At 34.1% G+C, this 21,199-nt stretch overlaps 1 protein-coding gene across 12 annotated transcripts in view; it reads right to left on the reverse strand.

Moving 5' to 3' along the window:
• SPOCK3 (SPARC (osteonectin), cwcv and kazal like domains proteoglycan 3) overlaps nucleotides 1-21,199 on the reverse strand; it is a 501,562-nt gene that overhangs the window by 254,787 nt on the left and 225,576 nt on the right. For 9 of the 12 annotated variants that reach the window (XM_017008258.2, XM_011532018.2, NM_001204354.2 and 6 more), the window contains one exon: nucleotides 12,179-12,293. The exons of the other annotated variants lie outside the window; for them this stretch is intronic. In XM_017008258.2, the coding sequence (XP_016863747.1) occupies nucleotides 12,179-12,293 (115 nt within the window). The remainder of the gene's footprint in view (nucleotides 1-12,178; nucleotides 12,294-21,199) is intronic. 12 annotated transcript variants of the gene reach the window in all.

Raw genomic sequence — 21,199 nt, forward strand, 5'->3', positions numbered from 1 at the left:
AGAAGAGGATGATGAAGGTCGTGGTTGATAACAATAATAGTAACAATAATAAAAGCAAGAATAAGAATAGAAGCCACTGTCCTGAGTGTTTCATGAGTATTAATTAAACTGATATCTGCACAAGTCAGTAAGCAAAATGTCAGAAAAGACTCTACTGGATGCTTTCTCTTTTCTCTGTGAACAAAATGCTGAATTTGCCCACTGAGAACAGAAGGGAAGATAGCAATATATACAGCTTAATGCAAATAGAGTTTTACAGTAGCATTTTATAAAAAGAGATATAAACTGATTCAGGACACAGAACAATTAGCAGAAAATGTGAATGGTCTAGTTGAGAATAAAGCATATTCATCTATAGTGATACCAAGACAGCCACATAGGTTTCAATAATAATATGTGGATTTTAGTCTTAAATATAGTAACAAATAAACAGCTGTGTGACTCTGGACAAGTCAGTTCACAGGCAACTAATAATAGAATTCATAGGCAGCAGATAATGGGAGGCTTTGAAATTGAACAGGTCTAAATTCAACTCCTAGCTATGGCAATTATTACTGGTATAGCCTTTTCAATTCACATCAACTGAGTTGCATTGTCTTAATCTGTAAAAGGACGAAAATAATAGTAACTACAAAATAAATTAATACATGTAAAATACCTACAAATTTCTTAGTAAACTCTTATCAATAAGCAGGTATTGTTATTTCTATGATTCTCAACCTAATCCTCTTCCTTATATTTTCATAATCATGATAATCCTTACCTTATATTTAGAATGCAGGATGGAATTAAATATCTCTAAAGAATTTTCCAGATCCAAAATTATTCTAGTTACAAGCAAACCCTAGATACATATCAGTCAACCGAATGCTAAAACGGAAGGAAAGAAACCTACGAAAATGATAAAGAATGTACTCTACCCCTACAGATGTATTAGCTGTTTATATTTTGTCACTAAACCAGTAGACCTGTGGGATTTCAAAGCCTCCCATTATTTGCTAACACAGTTAGTTGCCTGTTAACTGACTTGTCCAGAGTCACACAGTTGTCTATTTATTAATATATTTATGACTAAAATCTAGGTTTCTCTATCGCACACATTATTACCGAGACCTGTGTGGCTGTCTTTATATCACTACAGATGAATATACTTTACTCCTCACTTAAATAATTATGTGTTAAGTATCTGGGACCTAAGGCTTAAATTAATATAATTTATATTCTGTTTTATATAAGCCTTAATAACAGGCAAAATCCCTCTAAGTTTAGTGAAGCCCCATAGTCTAGAGTAATTTTTTATGATCATCTGGAAATTCCAGTATTTTTTGTGTCTTATGTGCTACAGCTTTTTCTGTAAGAGTAAATAAGTGTTTAAGTTTGGAAATGAATTATGTGCAATTGTTAGGGCATATCCACAGCTAGTCCCCAGGAGACAAGTTCTTCAAAACACTTACACAGTCTCCTATGCTTTTAACCAATGAAAAAGTTGATGAGATAATTACTAAGATCCCATCACACGCCTCTATTATTTTTCCACCATCAATGTAATTCTTACGTTTTTTTGGTAGTAAATTTCAAATAGATTTATTAATCAGGATAATGATAGCTACTCACACATCTAAAAAGTTCAGTGTCTTAATACAAAAGTTTATTTTTCTTTCATATAATAGGCCAATGAGGCTATTTCTTGGATGATCATTCCTATGGTGATTCTGGAAATAAATTTCATTATATCTTGTGATTATACCATCCCTTAGATCTCAGAATTATCTGCTTCCATCTTATAAGTAGAAAGGGAAGGGGGAAGCAGTCACACCCATATCTTAACCATCTGAACTCCGAAGTGATAAGCATTACTTTTGTTCTGTTTTGACAAGCAAGAAGTAATCCCATGATCTCAGAAAGATGTCAGGGCTAGTGGGAAGAGCTGCAGGAAACTAGTACCTGCCCTGGCAGGCACTTTCCAGAAACAAGTCTACCCTGTGAAAGAGGAACATCATCCTTTGTTCTATGGCTAGCTGTCTCTCTGCCCAAAACTGAATATCAATGATTACAAATTACATATTCAAAATCACAATGTGAGGACAGAAATAAATAAGAAGTAAATTGAGCTCCATATTTTGACATTAGATAGGCCCAACAGTAAAAATGTTCTTACATGTATACATATGTAACTAACCTGCATGTTGTGCACATGTACCCTAAAACTTAAAGTATAATAAAAAAATTAAAAAAAAATGTTCTTACAAATATTTTTTTAAAAATCTAAAGAAAATAGTAAAATAAAGCAAGAATTTAGGAATAGAAAGATTATTCAGGCTGAAATATAGCAGAAATGACTACTAATTTCCTAATTATTTATCTACATTAGGCAGCAACAAGAAAAAAGATTTTATACAAAGTTTAAAAATTAATATGCTCCAGCCCTTAATGTCCATTACCCAGAAATACAATTGTCTCTTTGCCAACAGTTGACTAGGAGGAGGTTTAGCTCTAATTTACCCAAAATGTTGAATTATTTAATACAAATTCAGTAACAGCAAGTTTGGATTTAATATTTAAAATGTCATGATTAAAATAAAATGAATTTATTAATGAATTCATAGCAAGCATCATCCCAATTGATCACTGGAAATCACATTATTAATAATGATAATATTAAATACTCTAAAATTTTAAGAAATATAATTGATGAACTGGAGAGAGAAATATTTAGAATAAGAAATACTCATTTAATGAAGAGATTATTAAAAACAGAAATATGTAAAGGACTAATTAAGTTCACTATAGCACCTGTCCATCAAGTACTAATTGCTTTAAAGTAATAGGTCTAAATAATAGTGAAAGTAAATAAATTATGCACATTTTGTTACAGCTTGTGGATCCAGTACTTCTTTTCCACTGTGGAGCCTCTTTTTTTAAGTCTCCTTATCTTGTGCTAAAACTATCCTCTTCTTTGAAAAAATTGCTTAAGTTCTAAAAAATGTTATCAGTATAGTCAATTTCCTTTAATTCACCACTATTTTTTACCATGATTCACCATGTTACAACTTAGAGATAATGGCTGATATGAAACCACCAACAGTATCTACATAGCCCCTCCATTATTAAAGGCACACACACATACATTTATTCCTGAAGCTGAAAAAAGATAATGTGACTTTTTGTTTTTATATTTATTTATTTATTTATTTATTTATTTATTTATTTATGTTTTGAGACAGAGTTTCCCTCTGTCACCCAGGCTGGAGTGCAATGGCACGATCTTGGCTCACTTTAACATTTGCCTCCCTGGCTCAGTGATTTCTCGTGCCTCAGCCTCCTGAGCAGCTGGGATTACAGGCATGCGCCACAACACCCTGCTAATTTTTGTATTTTTAGTAGACACAGGGTTTCACCATATTGGCCAGGCTCATCTCACACTCATGGCCTCAAGTCACCTGCCCACCTCAGCCTCCCAAAGTGCTGGGATTACAGGCATGAGCCACCAGTGCCCAGTCCATACCAATTTTAAATAAAAAATAAACTACGACAGTTGAAAACTCAAAATTACTAATATCTAAACAGTATTCTTTACTGGTAAAGGGGTGAAACAGCAGGCATCAGCATATTGTTTACAGTAGAGAAACTGACACACTCTGGAGGTTGTTTGACAATACATGTCAATATTTAAACATATTTTCTTTTTGACATAGCAATCCAACAACTACGAATTTATGGCAAAAATATTCACACACGTGTATATAAAGATACATGCTGAAGCGTGTTGTACAAAGCATGATAATAAGAAAAAGTAGAACTAACCCTAATGTCCATCAATAAAGTATTAAGTTAAGTAAATTATGGGATAGTCTTGTAATGGGTTTCTTTACAGCCATTCAAAGAAATGAGATAAAATCCATTTGCTGAATTGCAAATGTTCAAAACATGTTATGTTAAAACAAGGCACAAAAATATATATTAAAATATTCCCATTTGGAGGTAAGTGTGTTTGTGTAAATGTGTGTGTGGGTGTGTGTGTAGATAATTCCTGGAAGTGTAGGAGTGGAACTGAGTGGTCTGCGGAGGAAAGAATCAAATCTGTACTCCTTTCCATCATATGGAGTTGTTACCTTATCCACATGTTGTTTTCATAAGCGTTAAATTTTAAAAATAAAGAAGTTTTAAAATTGCTATCACTGACATCACCTATGTATAATATTTTCTACCCTTTTCTATGTAGCTAATAAACAATCATAGTTTTTCTCAGTTCTTTCAAAATAATAAAGCAATATAGAAATAGACTGAATTGGAAGAACTAGAATAATCATTATTCTTAATAGGCAGCTAGTTTCCTCTTTCTCATAGACAAAAAAATAGAGTTTTTCTTTTATATGAAAGGCACCTACTACATATTTGTGTAAATACAGCCCTTCCTGCAATTCAGAAACCTAAGTAATGTTGATTAAACTTTACTTTGAACCTGAGCATTTTAATCTTCATCTCTTAAGGATATTTGATTAAGAGATATTAAGGTCCATCCAAAATACTTCTTTAAAAGTAACCTTCATTAATATCCAATTTTTTCTCTCCAAAGGTTTATACCAGATTCTTGTCTATTTGGGGAACAAGAAACCAGGAACTATTTGAATCTTCCTTTGCTGTACTTTTTCCCCCCAATTCATACTCTTTTCCTTCTATAGGGGACATTAATGAAGCCTTAATTGGATGGCAGAGTAACAGCTTATGTGTGAAGGAATTCCTTCTGTTCACTGTTCACATTACACCATTAACTGGCCTTCATCTATTCCCTGTGTCATAGTGCACCCTTTTTGTGGCTAGCTGCTCTATTTGCCCTCTTCTACCGATCATCGATTTAAACCCCTGTTCTCACAGCTGAAATCTTGGTATACAAGATTCAGAAGTATACACGGAGGCACATTCATTACAAATCTGTTATACAGGCTTCAAAGCCAGTATATATTGCAAGCAGAACTGCGAAGGATCTCTACTCAGATCCAGAATTTCCTTCCTTCAAATGCAAGGAGGGTTCCTGCTAAGCAGAAGGAGCCTTTAGGCCCAGTGGAGAAATAAAATCTCTCTGACAGGACATGCAAGGGCTTAGCTATGCTCACTCAAAAAAAATTGACATCCCTTGAGGCGTCTAGTGCCTATGAATCCTTCTCGTGTATTTTGGAACTTCTGGTCTAAAGATCGTCTTCTCTGGTCATGGGGACATAGGCAATGCTAAAGGATGTAAAGCAGAGAATCATTAAGGGCAGCAAATTTTTTGAAATTTTAAGTACCCTAATAATCTTTAACCCACCAAAGCTATGCCCACCCTCATGCTATTTCTCTTTAAGCATCTGTCTCACATTTTCTATAACACAATGGTGGCTCATTGTTTCCACTCTCTTCCTTCTCAACTGCCAAAATCACGCCCTTCCTTTTATTTAACGTATAAGGTAATCTTAAATTTCATATCCTATGATCATGACAGGAGTAAATCAATTTTCTCAACTACTTTGTCTATGGCAACCCAACAATTCACCTGTTAGCTATTAAATATACAGTCACTATAATATTCGTGGGTTAACAAGCACTTCTAACGTGCTATGGGCACAAAGATGCAAGCATATTTAATTCTACCTTGGGTTGGGAGGGGAGACTGAATAGACCTTTCTCAATAATTAATGTTTATTGAGTGCTTTCATTGTGAAAAGTGCTTTAAGCAAATTATGTCTTTAATTCTCACAAAAACAGAGGGAGATACATAGTATAATTATCAACTCTATGTTTTAAACAAGAAAACTAAGTCTGGGATAATTTAATTTGCTCAAAGTCATTCTGGAGAAATGGAGATGGAGCCAGACTTCAAAGCTAGTCCGTCCAGCTTCAAATTACATCCATTAACCATTATGCTGAAAAGCCTTCTCAGAAACGGAGTCTGCCAGAAGAACAAAGGAACAAGTGGGCAGGACATCTCGCGAGAAAATAAAACACAGCCAGAACCAACACCCATGATCATAAAATATACAACGTGTTTAGGAAAAAATAGTAATAGCTAACCCTATCATAATGCCTATCATGGATGAAGTAGTTCTAATTGTTTTTGCACATTAAGTCATTAATCCTTAAAACTACATCGCAGAAAGTACCATTTGTATGATACCTACTTTACAGCAGAAAAATCTGAAGCACTCAGAGCTTGGGTAACCTGTCCAAGATCACATGGCTAAGAACAGTGGGGCTAAACTGTGAAGCCAGGCATTCTGTCTCTGGCCCCTTGTGCTCTGACATACATTCTGGGCTCTCTACAGAATGAATTTCCTGCTGTAAGAAATCTGCAATGTGCCATTGGGAGAAAACTACAGAGGAGGCTCTAAAGCTACCTGGGCCAGATTATAAAGGACCACGAGAAGGATTTTGGACTTTAACCAACAGGTTCCTGATTTTCAACTGGAGAGGAAATATATCCCAATAATGATAAGGTGTGTTGTGTACTTCAAAAATAAAGTCAATCCTGTGACTTATTTTCATATATGAGAAACATGCTTTCTGTTTTTGTAATGCATAACACCTAATATAAACCCTGACCAAATCACATTGACTGACTAAGATGTACAATCTAAGTAGTTGAATTTTCTGATTATAGCAGTTCTCAACTAGGGGATACTATGCTCCCTTCAGGGTGATAATAGAATAACTGGAGAACCTAAAAAGTGTATATTCAGCAAAAAAAGAATGTGGGCTAAAACATGCTGAGAAACAGTACATTAGGCAATAGGTGTAGAGAAATTTTCTTTTTGAAAATATAGGGTGGTGGTAAGATAAGTAACAATTCTACAATGCTTAGAAGAATGTCTCATTTATATAACATACTTTATAAGTAACATAAGACAATAAAGCATAATAAGAGCACAAATTCTAGAACCACAATGGCCAGGTTCAGTGTCCAAGTCTACCAATTGAATAAATTAAGTGAATTCTCTGTCTCAACTTTTATCATAGGTAAAATGGGGATAACAACTGTAAGTCATCTTACTTCCAACTATTGTAAGATTAAATGAATTACACACATATATGCATGTATGTATGTATGTGTGTGTGTGTGCATACAGATATCAAATTCCAGACATAAAGGAAACTATGAAGTTTAGTTATGATCTATCTTTTAAGAAGAGGAATCAAACAATGTTATACTAATTCACTATCCAAAGTACAATGACCATTTGTAAAAGTAATTAATTTTAAAAACTTTTGCAAACCTTCGTCATCCTAACTAAAATAAATTTATGAAAAGTTAAGTATCTATAAACATCTGTTCATATACATAAAATTGATAATTATGGAAAAAATGTATATATAAACAAGATAGGCATGATTTCAAATCTGAAATCTACACTTTGTATCTATCTATCATCTATCTATCTACCTATCTATCTAACTATACCTATCAATTATGCTTCTATAGAACTAATCTCAAGCAGAACACCCAGAAACTCTGAGCCTCAGTTATGGGCATAATAATGCTTAGTATAAAGCATTAGCATCACTGTAAAAGCTAAATCAATTTAAGGCATTTAGGAAAGAGTTTTGCATACATTAAGTGTGAAATAAATACTGGATTTAATTCTCTCTGAAGACATTATTAATACAGTCATATTCCATAGAAGTTAAATGTCTCTCAAGTATAAGAAGCATTATTTTTAAATGATTATGATAAGTTCAATTCAGTTCAGCAAACATTTGTGGAACACTATATAACTTATGCTTTGTGATTAAATCTTTCTGCTTTCAATATTTCAACAAAGGAAACACAAACGCCATAGCTATTCAATCAGTGATCATATAAATACATTTAGATCTTCTTTTAAAAATAGTCATTATAAACCATGAATTCCAAGATTGCATAGTTAAAATAGATAAATTTTAGGACTCACTTTTTTGATAATTATTTTTGATAAGTAGCATTTTACACTACTTTCATCATTTTCTATATAATGCCTTCTTAGGAGGTCAAAAGCACTTCCTTATTCTTTTTTTTCTTTTAATCCTTCAGTGTAAATGAAGTAGAAATTAACATGGCTAGTTTTGTCCTACAACTTATTCAACCTTACTCTGTCTTATTATGCCAAACCTTTTCCTTTTAATATCAGCAGCATCGATTGGTGCCAGCAACACTGATCTAGAAATAGTGTTAATTATCTGCAGCTGCACAGGCAGCAAGGGAGCATAAAACACTGGGCTTCTTGTTCACAATATACAAAAACAATGAAACAATCACCCTCAGCTGTCAGCATCTTCAGATCTTTCCCCAAGGGTAACAATATAACAAGTGGATCACATTCAAAGCTTGGGAAACCCATCATGTATTTCATATTAAAGCATCTAAATAATGGGTTATGTTACCATATTGGAAAAACATGCTGCAGCTAAAGTTCCTTCTCATTATTCATACTACTATTTTCTTTTAACTGGTAATGATAAAGGTAACAGAAAGTTAGCACAATGACAAAGATATCACCTGCTCTGAGACCAGTTCTTCACAGAAAAAGCCATTTGGAGACAATATCCAAATATATGACTTTGAACATCACATATTTGGATGGTTTACACCATCCTTTACACCGGCAGTGGTGGTCAAAACTAGACTAAAACTATGATTCACCTAATCATGTTATTTTTCTGATTTCAGAGGACAATTATTATTATTTAAAACGCTGAGGAAGGAGAAATTTACTAATTATTTCAATTATTTACAAATCCAAGTGAAGGACCTACTAGTTTCTTAAAACCAATCGTTACATCCCTCATTTCATGTTTAAATATCCTTCTTGAACAAGATAATGTGCCTTTCAGGGATATGGATGGAGCTGGTAGCCATCATCCCAGCAAACTAACACAGGAACAGAAAACCAAACACCACATGTTCTCACTTATAAGTGAGAGCTGAACGATGAGAACACATTGACACAGGGAGGGGAACAACACACACTGTGGCCTGTCGGTGGGGGTTAGGGGGAGGGAGAGCATCAAGGTAAACAGATTATGCATGCGGTGCTTAATACTTAGGCGATAGGCTGATAGGTGCAGTAAACCACCATGGGACACATTTACCTATATAACAAACCTGCACATTCTGCACATGTATCCCGGAACTTAAAATAAAATAAAATAAAATATTTAAAAATCCTCCTTTTCCTTTTATTTGATAAATCATGCATTCATTTATTCTGCCATTAAAACATACTTGTTGACTGATGCCTATACCCTTCTTAATTCATTTTCAGCAAATATACGCAAAGCACTAAGAAAATAATGTTTAAACCTAGATTATCTAGATTGACCATTTCAATTGATCAAACTATTTGTCAAAATTTTCTTCCTAAATATTTTACAAATGGCAGCTGTTTTACTAACCTCCTCAAAGAAAACATGTACTGAGCAGTAATTCAAGATCTGGGTACACAGCAGTAAATAAGACACCTTCACTGAGCTCAGTCAGTCGAAGGAGATCAATGTTAGACAAACTATTACAAATGTTGTGAGCACTGTAAGATGCGAAGGTTGAAATTCTAAAGCAATGGAGAAATGAGTGTGATATATTGTATTGGGAAGAGGAGACTGGAAAGTGTGTTTGAAAAACTGTATTCCCCTTGCAGGAAGAAACAGCGGGTTTCCTTTCTCTTTTATGAGATCTAGGGAAGAAAGAATAAGTTGTTCCTTTAAACAGAAAAAAGGTAGCAATTTGTATTCTAAACTATGCAAATGGACAAAAATTGATCAATTAAGCCGTCTTTCCCTGCTTTCTCTACCACATCCCCAAAATACACACAATCCTCAAATCTAAGATCTAGATTATTTATATTAGCCATTTTTATTGATCAAAGTGCTTGGCAAAGCTCTTCTTCCCTAAGCGTTGTATAAATAATCACTATGTACTGACATCCTCAAGGCAAATAAAGCATATCAAATATTAATCTTAAAATCAATTTGTTGGAAACTAGTGATTTATTTATTGAATAGAGCATGGATTGAATGGACATTTATAAATAGTCTCTATCAGAAATAGAACAGGACTAAATACTATTTACATAAAACATTTTGAAATTCACCCACTAAAAGCATATTAGTCTCCCCTCTGAACCCTCTCCACCACTACACCAAAGGCAAAGCTTCAGTAGTGCCCTATTAAGGATCTTTCAATTTTATATATTAAGGGACATTTGGCTATCAGTTTCTGATAGTCTTTATCATGTTAAGGAAGATTTTTGCCTGTAGTTAAGCTGTTTAATAAGTCAGAGAAGTAACGAGACAGCATAGTGGTAAAAAGCTTAGACTCTGGGGTCGATCAGTACAGATTAGAATTGAAGCTCTGAAAATTTCTAGCTTTGTAGTCTTGAGGCAGTTACTTTAACCTCTCTTAGCTTCAGTGTCCAGCAGGTGTCAAAACGAGTGTGTCTCTGCCACAGACATGATATTAACTGCGACGTCTTTGGTTGCTCTTTGACTTGGGTTCACGGGGCCAGGGGTGAAGTGGCAGGTGAATCTTTTCAAAGCTGTTAAATGTCTGCACGTGGAAATCTTTCCCAGGGTCTCTAGAACTTGTGATAAAACAGTTTTTTGCTTTTATGGGAGATAAACTGACTTAGTCTCTGTAACTTAGGTGAGAGATCATATATGAATCCCTTTTGACACCCTTCTCTTTTTTATTTCACCCCCTATATACACACATTCACATACTAATGTTTTTAAATTTGTATGATTAATTAATAGAAATGCCAAGAAATTTAGAATCCTAAGGAAATAAATAGAAAAATGAGTTTCTGGCCCAAAGCTTTGTTATCCCTCTGTAAAATTAGCATCAAAGTCAGGATTGATGGGGGATATGTTACTGATAACTGCTTCACCCATTTGTGCTTTCCCCTAGTAGGCTAACTTTACAGAATTGTGATTTCCAAGAAGTCTTTTGTTCTTTATATCACCAAACTGTTGTTTTCTTTCTCCTACTCCCTCTCTCTGTTCCACGAGTACATTATTGATATACCATGATTCTAACCCAAGTGAACACATTTTCAAACCCGCATACCTTTGTTATATCCAACTCCCTTGGTTCTAGAAATCTGCCACTATAGACTTAACATTGTGGAATAAAGACTTCTAATCCTTTTGGCATGTACAACAGGGTGTTATGTATATGTCCTCTTACATTATGAGAAACATCAATGTAACTTAAATATTTGCTGTTTCCTAGAAATGCTATTTATGTTCTTATTTTCCAATGTTATTATTCTTATTCTCTTACTGTTGGTGTGTTTAATAGAATTTATATGCAAGTACACTAAAGCCAAAAATCCAATTTTTCTCTGAGCACACACAAATAGCAAAATTTTCTTTGTTCATTTGATTTAAAAGCAATACATAAGTCCATTATCAGAGAAAGAGTATTCTCAAAAAATAACTTTAAAAATGATAAAGGAAACGAATACACCACTTGTTTCAGTCGGTTAAACAATGAATTCATGTTTGATTGTGGCGCGTTCAAATTTTTAAGACTCAGCACCAAACTACACAGGCTATTTCTAAATTACTGGTCCTTCCCAAAACAGAGCCCGTCTAACAGAAGCAGTGCTGGTTGTTATAAGATACTTGAAATCCTCCCTTCTTTTTTAGAAATTGTGAATCAGCATCCACCGAATAGATACAATGACTCCACTGGTATGAGTGACCCCTAAAGAAGGCATCCTGAGGGGTTCAAGTCCCAAGTCCCTATTTCGTGACTTTTAATCTCTTTTTATGAACATCAATCATTTTCTCTCCTCTAACTTTCTAACTCTCTCCTGAGGGAAATAAAGATGTTTGAATAGCCACAAACAAAAATATGTAGAGGGAACAAAACTAATTGTTCCTTAAACTTGAAAAAGCACAAACAACTAGATATAACATTTTAAATATCATCTTTATAAGACCTTCTTTATTTAATAATATATGCCTCAAATTCTATAATCTGTAGTAATTGTGACTGATACCAATGTTTAACCCAAGTGAATCATAATTGTATTAACTAAGCTTCTGTAACTGTTTCAATAAAACTCTGCATAAAAGATTAGCAGGCACTGCCAAATATTTATACTCTGCAGTTATTCCTGGTAAGGAGCGCTGTTCAATCAGTGGGATTAAATTTAACAATGTTTACCTGTGTGTAAGCCTCCGGTGACTAATGCAGACTGCAGTCTGAGAATCTTGAGCAATGCATACTTTATGGCGACTACATTTCATCTTTAAGCATGGATCCTTAGCTGGATCTAAAGCTAAAAAAATTGCAAAGAAAATATTAAAATAAGCTTCTGTAAAATGGAGGTATCAAATCCCATCAAACACAATTTGATCAGGTCATTTACATAATGCTTAATTGTAAACTTTCTTCACATTCTTTCTCTATTAAGAGAAACTTCTGCTTCTACCCACATAACTCAGAGTTAACAGCTAGCTGTAGTTGTCTCATCCACTCTATTCAGAAGCTAAGATGCACATATGCCTATGATCAGACAATGTGTTATCAAAATAGAAACTTTAAGACTCAAACTCTCTGTAGTTGCTACTGCCTTCTAAGCAGCAAAGGTGGTGAAATAGAGTATGTTACTGAAGTATTTTATGACAGTGGAAAACTGCAATCTATACCCTTGCTTTCCCGAGATAAATGCTGGTGGGTCAATAAAAGGGACAAAATGAACAAACAAAAATGTCAGTGGACATTAATGGATATCTTTGGCTATCCAAAAATAGTCTAGAGCTGTATTTGGAGACTGGATGAATATATCATAGTAAGAACTGAGATTCTGCATTTTCATTTTTACATCATTTGTGCATAATATTTGGACCACCATTTCTTCAAACAAACCTGTCTTGATGGCTGTCAACAAAAAGGCTATGTGAAATGTCGACGGTTTCATTTTATAACATCTTTATTTATATGTAATTCACATACTACACAATTTGGGCAGTTAAGTTTACAACCAATATTTTTCAGTATGTTTGCAATTATAAAATTATCACCACAATCAATATTAGAAGAATTTCATCACCAAAAATACCCAAACATATCGTCTTGTTATCATTATCATCCCCTATTCCCTCTCCCCTCCAACTAGTATTAGGCAACTACTCATCTAATTTCCATCTCTAGAGATTTTCCTATTCTGGACATTTTATATAAATTGAATGTTAAAATTTGTGGTGCTTTGTGACTAGCTTCTTTCACTTCGAACAATGTTTCTGAAGTTCAATCATGTTGTACCATGAATCACTACCTAATTCCTTTATATTGCTGAATATTATGCCATTTTACATATATACCACATTTTATTTATTCACTAGTAGATATGAATTTTGGTTGTTTCCACTTTTTTGGCTATTGTAAATAATACTGCTATTGGTGATCGTTCATGGTTAATCCCAGTGACACTTTGTTGTAATTTATTGTTGGGGGCAGACCAGAGGAGGAGTTGGTACAAATAAACAAAAGGCACTGAGTGTCCAGATTTGGTACATGCCAAAAGTGAGAGAAAGAAACAATGAAATATGGTAAACAAAAAATTCTAGTGCACAAAGAGAAATAAAACCAGAAAAATGTGCATTTGGAATATGCAGAAGTATTTGGAAGGGTTCCAGGCTGACCAGCGGAAATAAAATGTGGATTTGAGATAATCTTTGAGGGTAACTCAAGCTGATTCTTAAGCATATTTAGTCAATAGCCTAAATAAAGTGAATATATTTTGATAATCAATGCATTTTATTTATTTTATTATATTTTATTTTATTTTTGAGACAGAGTTTCTCTCTGACGCCCTGGCTAGAGTTCAGTGGTGCGATCTCGGCTCACTTCAACCTCCACTTCACAGGCTTAAGTGATTCTCCTGCCTCAGCCTCCCAAGTTGCTGGGACTACAGGCGCCCACCACCATGCCCAGATAATTTTTGTATTTTTAGTAGAGACGGGGTTTCACCATGTTGGCCAGGCAGCTCTTGAACTCCTGACCCGAAATGATCCACCCACCTTAGCCTCCCAAGGTGCTGGGATTACAATGGTGAGCCACTGCCCTCGGCCTGATAATCAATATAAAATACAGATATAAGCTATAATATATATGCACATATATCTTACTGATTTCAAATATATAAAGTATATTTCTGCAAAACTCTTGTTAGAGATTTTACATAACCATGAGATTTAAAATAAAGAATGTTAACACATATCATTGGTGACATTTTAACTAACAGACATTTTATATTATTCCATGCTAAAGTGGTCAAGACATTAAATGCATCTATTTGGAAGATAAATGTTTCAATTTTCTCCATACTAAGATAATTTTTTAAATAAGTAATGATTAGATTAATTATAGCTTTCCTTGTTTGGTCAGTAGCTTTAATAATGAAAATAAACTATATTAATTTTTCATTGTCTATAACATGTTAAATATACTTTGTTCACTATGCAAATGTAAATTGCTACAACATTCTTTTCAGACTATCACAGTTTGAATCATCATTAGGTAAAAAAAAGCTGTCTTCGAAATACTGCACTACAAAAGTGTATGACTTCTTGTTGGACAACATAAAAGAAAAAAACACACTATAACTTAGAAGACATTAAAAGTGTTTTGAGCTATTTCTAATGTTTAGCCTATGTTGATGTCTAATTACTAAAATCACTTTTTAAAATTCATTAAACAATTCTGCCTAACAATTAAATAATGTACTGCCTCTGTACTATATGTACATATATGTCATATACTCCTTTTGAGTATATTTAATCTTGGACTTATGTTCTGAAAAAGGAGTGTTTTCATTTTGAAATAAAACACTATAGTACATATAAAATTTTGATTAATCTAGTTACGATTCCAATGCAGACTGGTATGATTATAGCTGTTTCTTTACCTTATAAAATCTGCATTCGATAATTTCCAAAAGTTCTGTCACACAGTTTTGTCATGTATGCTCAAGAAAATGGAACTCAAAAATTGATATACAGTGAAAATAGAACAAATTTAACACATGAAAAATAATGTAATGAGTTTTACATAGGATTTTATGTAAATGACCAAATAAGAGAGGAGCAGTATTTGTCAGGAGATGGAAAATATAGGAGAAAATAAATATAAAGAATCAGATACATAGCATGTACAATAACAAAAAGACCACTTTCTGTGCATGAGATTTTAACCATCTGTATTTTTTAGTAGAACTCACATTGTTGGCAGCTTAAAAAATACAAAACATTACACACTGTAAATACAGATGCCTAAGATTTTATTCTTGAAACCACAACAATAACACAACAAATTTCTCTTGGCTGAAGTCCACGGATTAGAATCAATCCTCTGCCTTAAAGGGACCTGGCATAAATTCATCATCTCCCTCTGTTGTGTTCTTCTTTCCGTCTTGTTTTCCATTTAGCGTCTCCTCTTCTGTTCCGCATGATTGTATTTAGTTTTCTCTCCAGCAACCAGTCAAACTACCTCTAGAAAGATTTCAGCAATTGCATTTGACTTCACTTGGCTATATTCTTTTCTTCATCCTAATCTCTAATAAACTTTCTGGTCAGTGTAAACTAACCTGGGTACCTGACAAGTAAGTTTTTTTTGGTTGTGTTTCAGAAAACACCATCTGTATTTTAAACAACTGCCATATAATGTATCCTTTGAGCGTCATTACATTCGCAGTGTAGGATCTCCCTCAATCTTTTGCCAGAATACTTGTTTTTTAGTCCAGAATTTTTCCCAGTTACTTCCAGACAAAGCCCTGGGCTTCATTCACATTTGTTTTTGGTCTCACCTACCCTTGCTGCCTCAGGCATTCCCACCATTATGGGCTGGATGAGGCCTGATTCTTCCTAGTTTATGCTAGGACAGATATCGTACAAGAATTGTATCTTGTCTCCAGCAGACTCAACATTTTTGTTGGCAGAGATGTATAAATAGTTATTAATAATTAGAATACATTGTTAAGTGGAACTTACATAACAATATATAATATGCATACACAGAGAGACAGAGAGATCACATGATGGTGAATGGGAGAAAACTAGAATGAGCGACACCTTAGGTAAGTTTTACAAGAATATAGGACCCACCAAGTGCACAAAATGAAGCTCCAGTATAAGTAGATGGAATAAATAGCAAAAATGTAGAAAAAGGATGCCCTACTCATGGAATGGCAGATAGTTCAGGACCAGTGAAATATAAAATGCTCATATCGCCTGTGAGTATCGTGGAAAACACTGAACAGGGAGATGGAAGCTTCTTAGCCTTCCAGAGTTTTATCGTTTTGGTAATGTCATGGCCTGGCATGATTTTAGCTAGAAGAGTGGCATGATTATTTATTGCAGAAAGACCACACACAAGAATTTGGAGATGGTTTGAAGTGTGTGTGATTAAGACAGGGATATTAACCAGCTGTATGAGAGAGAAAGAATAAGAACCTGATCTAAGATAAATGGGTGTGAAGATGGAGAAGAGGGGATGCATTTCAAAAAGGACACTGATTCAATAGGGTCTAATTATTAATATAATAGAAGGGGGAAATTGGTCGAAATAAAAGAAATGGTGTTTGGTGGCACCACTGAACAATAAATAAGATATTTGGTGGTGAGAAAAAAAATACAGCAAGTTTAGTTGTGAGAAGTTAAGGTGATGACCTTATCTTTCATATTAGTGAAATGCCTGTGGTGACATCCAGATACTAATACTCAGCTGTCACCTAGATATTCGGATCTTGTATTCCAAGGAGAGGTTAGGGGAAAGATGTCCCTCCAGCAGTCATCTCAAAGAATGTACGTTAGAAACATAATCAGTCTTGTAATCTAGTTAGATTTTTAGGATGTTCAGCTTGATGACATATTTAAAGTAAAAAGATGGAAAACTTATTTTTATGGCCAACTCTCTTATCTTCTTCCCACAGCACATTTTTGGGCTGGAACAGAGAACGCAGGCACCATCTCCCAGGTTTTACACATACTGAGAACAGAATAATGGACAATGATTTTCTTTTTTTTCTTTATTCTTTTTTTTTGAGATGGAGTCTCACTCTGTTGCCCAGGCTGGAGTGCAGTGGTGCGATCTCAGCTCACTGCAAGCTCTGCCTCCCGGGTTCATGCCATTCTCCTGCCTCAGCCTTCCGAGTAGCTGGGACTACAGGCGCCCACCACCACGCCTGGCTAATTTTTTTTTGTATTTTTTAGTAGAGATGGGATTTCACCATGTTAGCCAGGATGGTCTCGATCCCCTGACCTCGTGATCCGCCCGCCTCGGCCTCCCAAAGGCCTGGGATTACAGGTGTGAGCCACCGCGCACAGACTGGACAATGATTTTCTTGGAGTCATCAACTTCTTGCCCATCGCCTTAATATTTTGAGAACAGGGATGCAGAAACCATTAAAAAAAAAACAGTACTCAAAATCCTTTTATATACTTTGTGCAAACCCTCTACTCTGGATGAGAAATGATTGGAAAGCTCTTAAACCTTAGAATTTCAATGTCCTTTAAAATACTGACTTACAATCACAAAACCCAAAAACCTCTGATAATTGAAAGGTCTTTGTTTTTGTTGTTGTTGTTGTCGGGGACTTGCAAATACTTGTGAAAATCTCATTTGATAAAGAAAAGGATACTGTGAATTAATGTAAATTAATTTATGATTTTAAGTCAATTTAGCATTTAGCTTCAAAAGGACTACTATTTTTAATTGCAGGGTGGTATGCTGCAGAATTATAATTTTTTTTACAGGGTATACATATAGTTGCATGCATTATATGATACACAAATCATATTGATTTTTTACAATATGAAAATTTCAAAATTCTATACACATCCGTTCTAAGCATTTGGATGGGATATTTTATGAGCATTCAATTATTGCAATTTATTCAGTATCTGCTCTGTGCCAGTATAGTTCTTTTTTGTTTATGTGTAAAATATCCTTAAAACCATTTTCTGAAACATGTTAGCATCTCAGTTTTAGATATCAGAAAATTATAGATCAAATACAATGTTTATCCTAGGATGTATAACTAGCAATTAGTAGAACCAGGTTTCAAACCCAAGCCCTTGGAATTACAAAACCTGAATAATTTGCCACTGAAGAATCCCGTTTCCTGAGCTTTCGGTGAGATTCAGAGTAGCTGAAACAATGTCCTGTGATCAGCTGACCTTTATATTCTCTATAACAGAATAAAAAGTTAAAACTTTTGCTGAAATAATATTCATATATAATATCTAGTAAGACAAGCAGAAAAGACTGTAAGATTGACTATTACCAGAGTATTTGTCTAGTTTTGATTCTGAGAGTTCATTCTTATGCTTACATATGTTACTTTCTCTCTAATAAGTCAGTTCCATATGCAATTGCTTGGAACCTAATACTGTATTCCGATAATTCGCCTACCCAGAAAATCATTCAACAATGCCTAAAAGCCATCTATTTAATCTGATCTTTACATTTCATATGAAAGCACTATCATTTTAATGCAAAATACAGACTTTTTGGGGAAACCTTTAACTATTTGATCTGTTCATTAATTTTTCACTATTTTTAAAATATTCATCATATGTTCTATTTTAATTCCGCCTCTTTTCCCAGGCATATTTCTAGCTACGGGTATTGTTTCCTCATACCTGTTGCTACTACAGCACTGCTTCTCTCACATACTCTTTATCCCTCGCAACTCAAAACTCTCAGGTGCCACTTTGCTCTTTCATCACAGCATGGCCACGTCCAAGGATTCTTTGGGTAAATATGCTGTCATTCTTTTCTATAGAGATTCCTTTCCATGGAGATGTACTTAAGGGAAGTTTTTGTTGTTGTTATCACTAGAATTCATAAGCCTGTTCTCCATCACCAGAGCCTTCTTCCAAGGAGTACATATATCCCTGCATTCACCTTGAAGCCTTATTTTTCAGTTCTCAGAAATGTGTGAATTTAATGGAGCTCAAGGAAACATTAATACCCTGGCTTCTGGCTCTATTCTTCTGTGGCTAACACAGTATATATACAGTCATCCTTTTGTATCTGTAGAGTATTGGTTCCAGGACCCCAGAGGGTACCAAAATCCGCAGATACTCAAGACCCTTATATAAAATGGTGTAGTAGTTCCAAATAATCTACACACATCCTCTTGTACAGTTTAAGTAATCCCTAGATTATTCATAATGCCTAATACAATGTAAATGCTATAAAATAGTTGGTATACTATATTTATTTTATCAGTATTTTAATTGTTATATTGCTATTTTAATTTTTTTTTCAAATATTTTTGGTCCGTGGCTGCTTGAATCCACAGATGTGGAGACTGCCTATTCTGAGGGCCAGTTGTAATCTGATTTAAGCAACATGTCAGTCCTTACTGCACTCTCCATAAAACCTTAACCATCTGGCTGCAAAGAAGTCAGTCACATTGTTCATAAAACAAGGTCATTGCCCTGTAGAAATCTAAAATGCCCTTTATTATAGCTGTAGAAAATCCTTTTCTTCTTCTGTGGCAAGAAAAGTATTGACTAGGCTTTATAACTTTAAAATGAAAAAGTTTAAATTTGTGACAAGCCTGCCTGTGTTCAATAGAACCTCTAAGAGCTTACTGATGATGCTTTTGTCAACAGCTTTTCCTCCTCTCGTGAGTGAAGGTGACAGGACAGTGTTTAATTATGAATATTACCATTGGCCACAGTCTAATGATGCTAAGGTATTAGACCTTCTAAATATCACTCTATTTCAAAATTTTATTTTGTTTCAAGAGGATTTATGAAAGAAATAAATTTTTCACATGTTTCTAAGTGTCAAAAGGAAAAAGAATAAAAGGTAATTCAGTGCTAATAAAATGTGCATAAGGTTCATGCAAATTGGTAAGGCTAAGAAGACACTTAATGAAAATAAGTTTTAAAACTATAAATATATTTATTTCTTGAGCTTGAGCAGTAGTAGCAGTCCATTAGTATTATAATAGCAAGTTTTACATCTAAAAATAACTTTTTATATACAGAGTTGAAGGTCTAAAAAAATGTACTAGATCATAAAGAATTTCAGGAAGATTAATATTCTATTGTAATGTTTTATATGTGATTCTTATACCATGTCGATCCTACTGTAATATAAATATATACTTAATTCTTATTTTCAAATATAGAATGATTAAGTCATATTAGGACATTTATAATTCTTAGCAACATTATAAACTATATTACTAGAGGTAATATTAGCATGAAGCTATAAAAATTGTAGCATAAAAGGCTATGGTAGAGGATTTGAATATGTAAGTCTTACATATTTAGGGACCATATAATGATGTTATGCAGGCTTTTTAAGAAATTCTTTCTTCAAAAATGAATTCTCATTTTAGATAGTCACATTTTTCTCTTTAACCAAGTAAACCTGTGCTTATATGCTGACTACTGTTTTCAAATGTCTTTTGTAAAATGTAGTACATGTATACCATGTAAGACTATACAGCCATAAGAAAGAATGAAATCATGTCCTTTGCCGCAACATGGATACAGCTGGAGGCCATTATTCTAAGTGAAGTAACACAGAAACAGAAAATCAAATACCACATATTCTTACTTACAAGTGGGAGCTAAACAAAGAGTACACATGGACCTAAAGATGGAAACAATAGACAGTGGGGACTCCAACAGCAAGAAGGGAGGGAAGCAGGGGAAGGACTGGAAAAACTACCTATTTAGTACTATGGTCACTATTTGAGTGATGGGTTCACTAGATGCTAAACCCCAGCATTACACAGTACATCCATGTAATAACCTGCACATGTACCCCCAGAATCCATAACAATTAAAAAGAATAATACACCCCTAAAAAATTTTAAAAAATAAAAGGTCTTCAATTACTTTTTCTTTTGTATAACTAATATGCTTCATATCATATTTACATGATAATCTATTTATCCTTCAATAATGTCTGTCCCATATCCAGAAAAATTATAATTAAAAAATATTAACAAACATCCAACAACAACAAAATAACTTAAAAAAATACTAAACCATAGGCTAGGATCTGGCAATTTTAGTATGTATCCGAGGGCATTACCTGTTCTCTTGGGTAATGCAAAGAAAATGGGAACTAGATTTGGGAACTCTTTAAAGCTTGGATTCCTGAAGAGCTCCTTCTTTAATTAAATAAGAAAGCCCAGCAACTAACCAAAATAAA

This window comes from Homo sapiens, chromosome 4 (assembly GCF_000001405.40).
Source record: "Homo sapiens chromosome 4, GRCh38.p14 Primary Assembly".
In the NCBI taxonomy this organism is placed as follows: domain Eukaryota; kingdom Metazoa; phylum Chordata; class Mammalia; order Primates; family Hominidae; genus Homo; species Homo sapiens.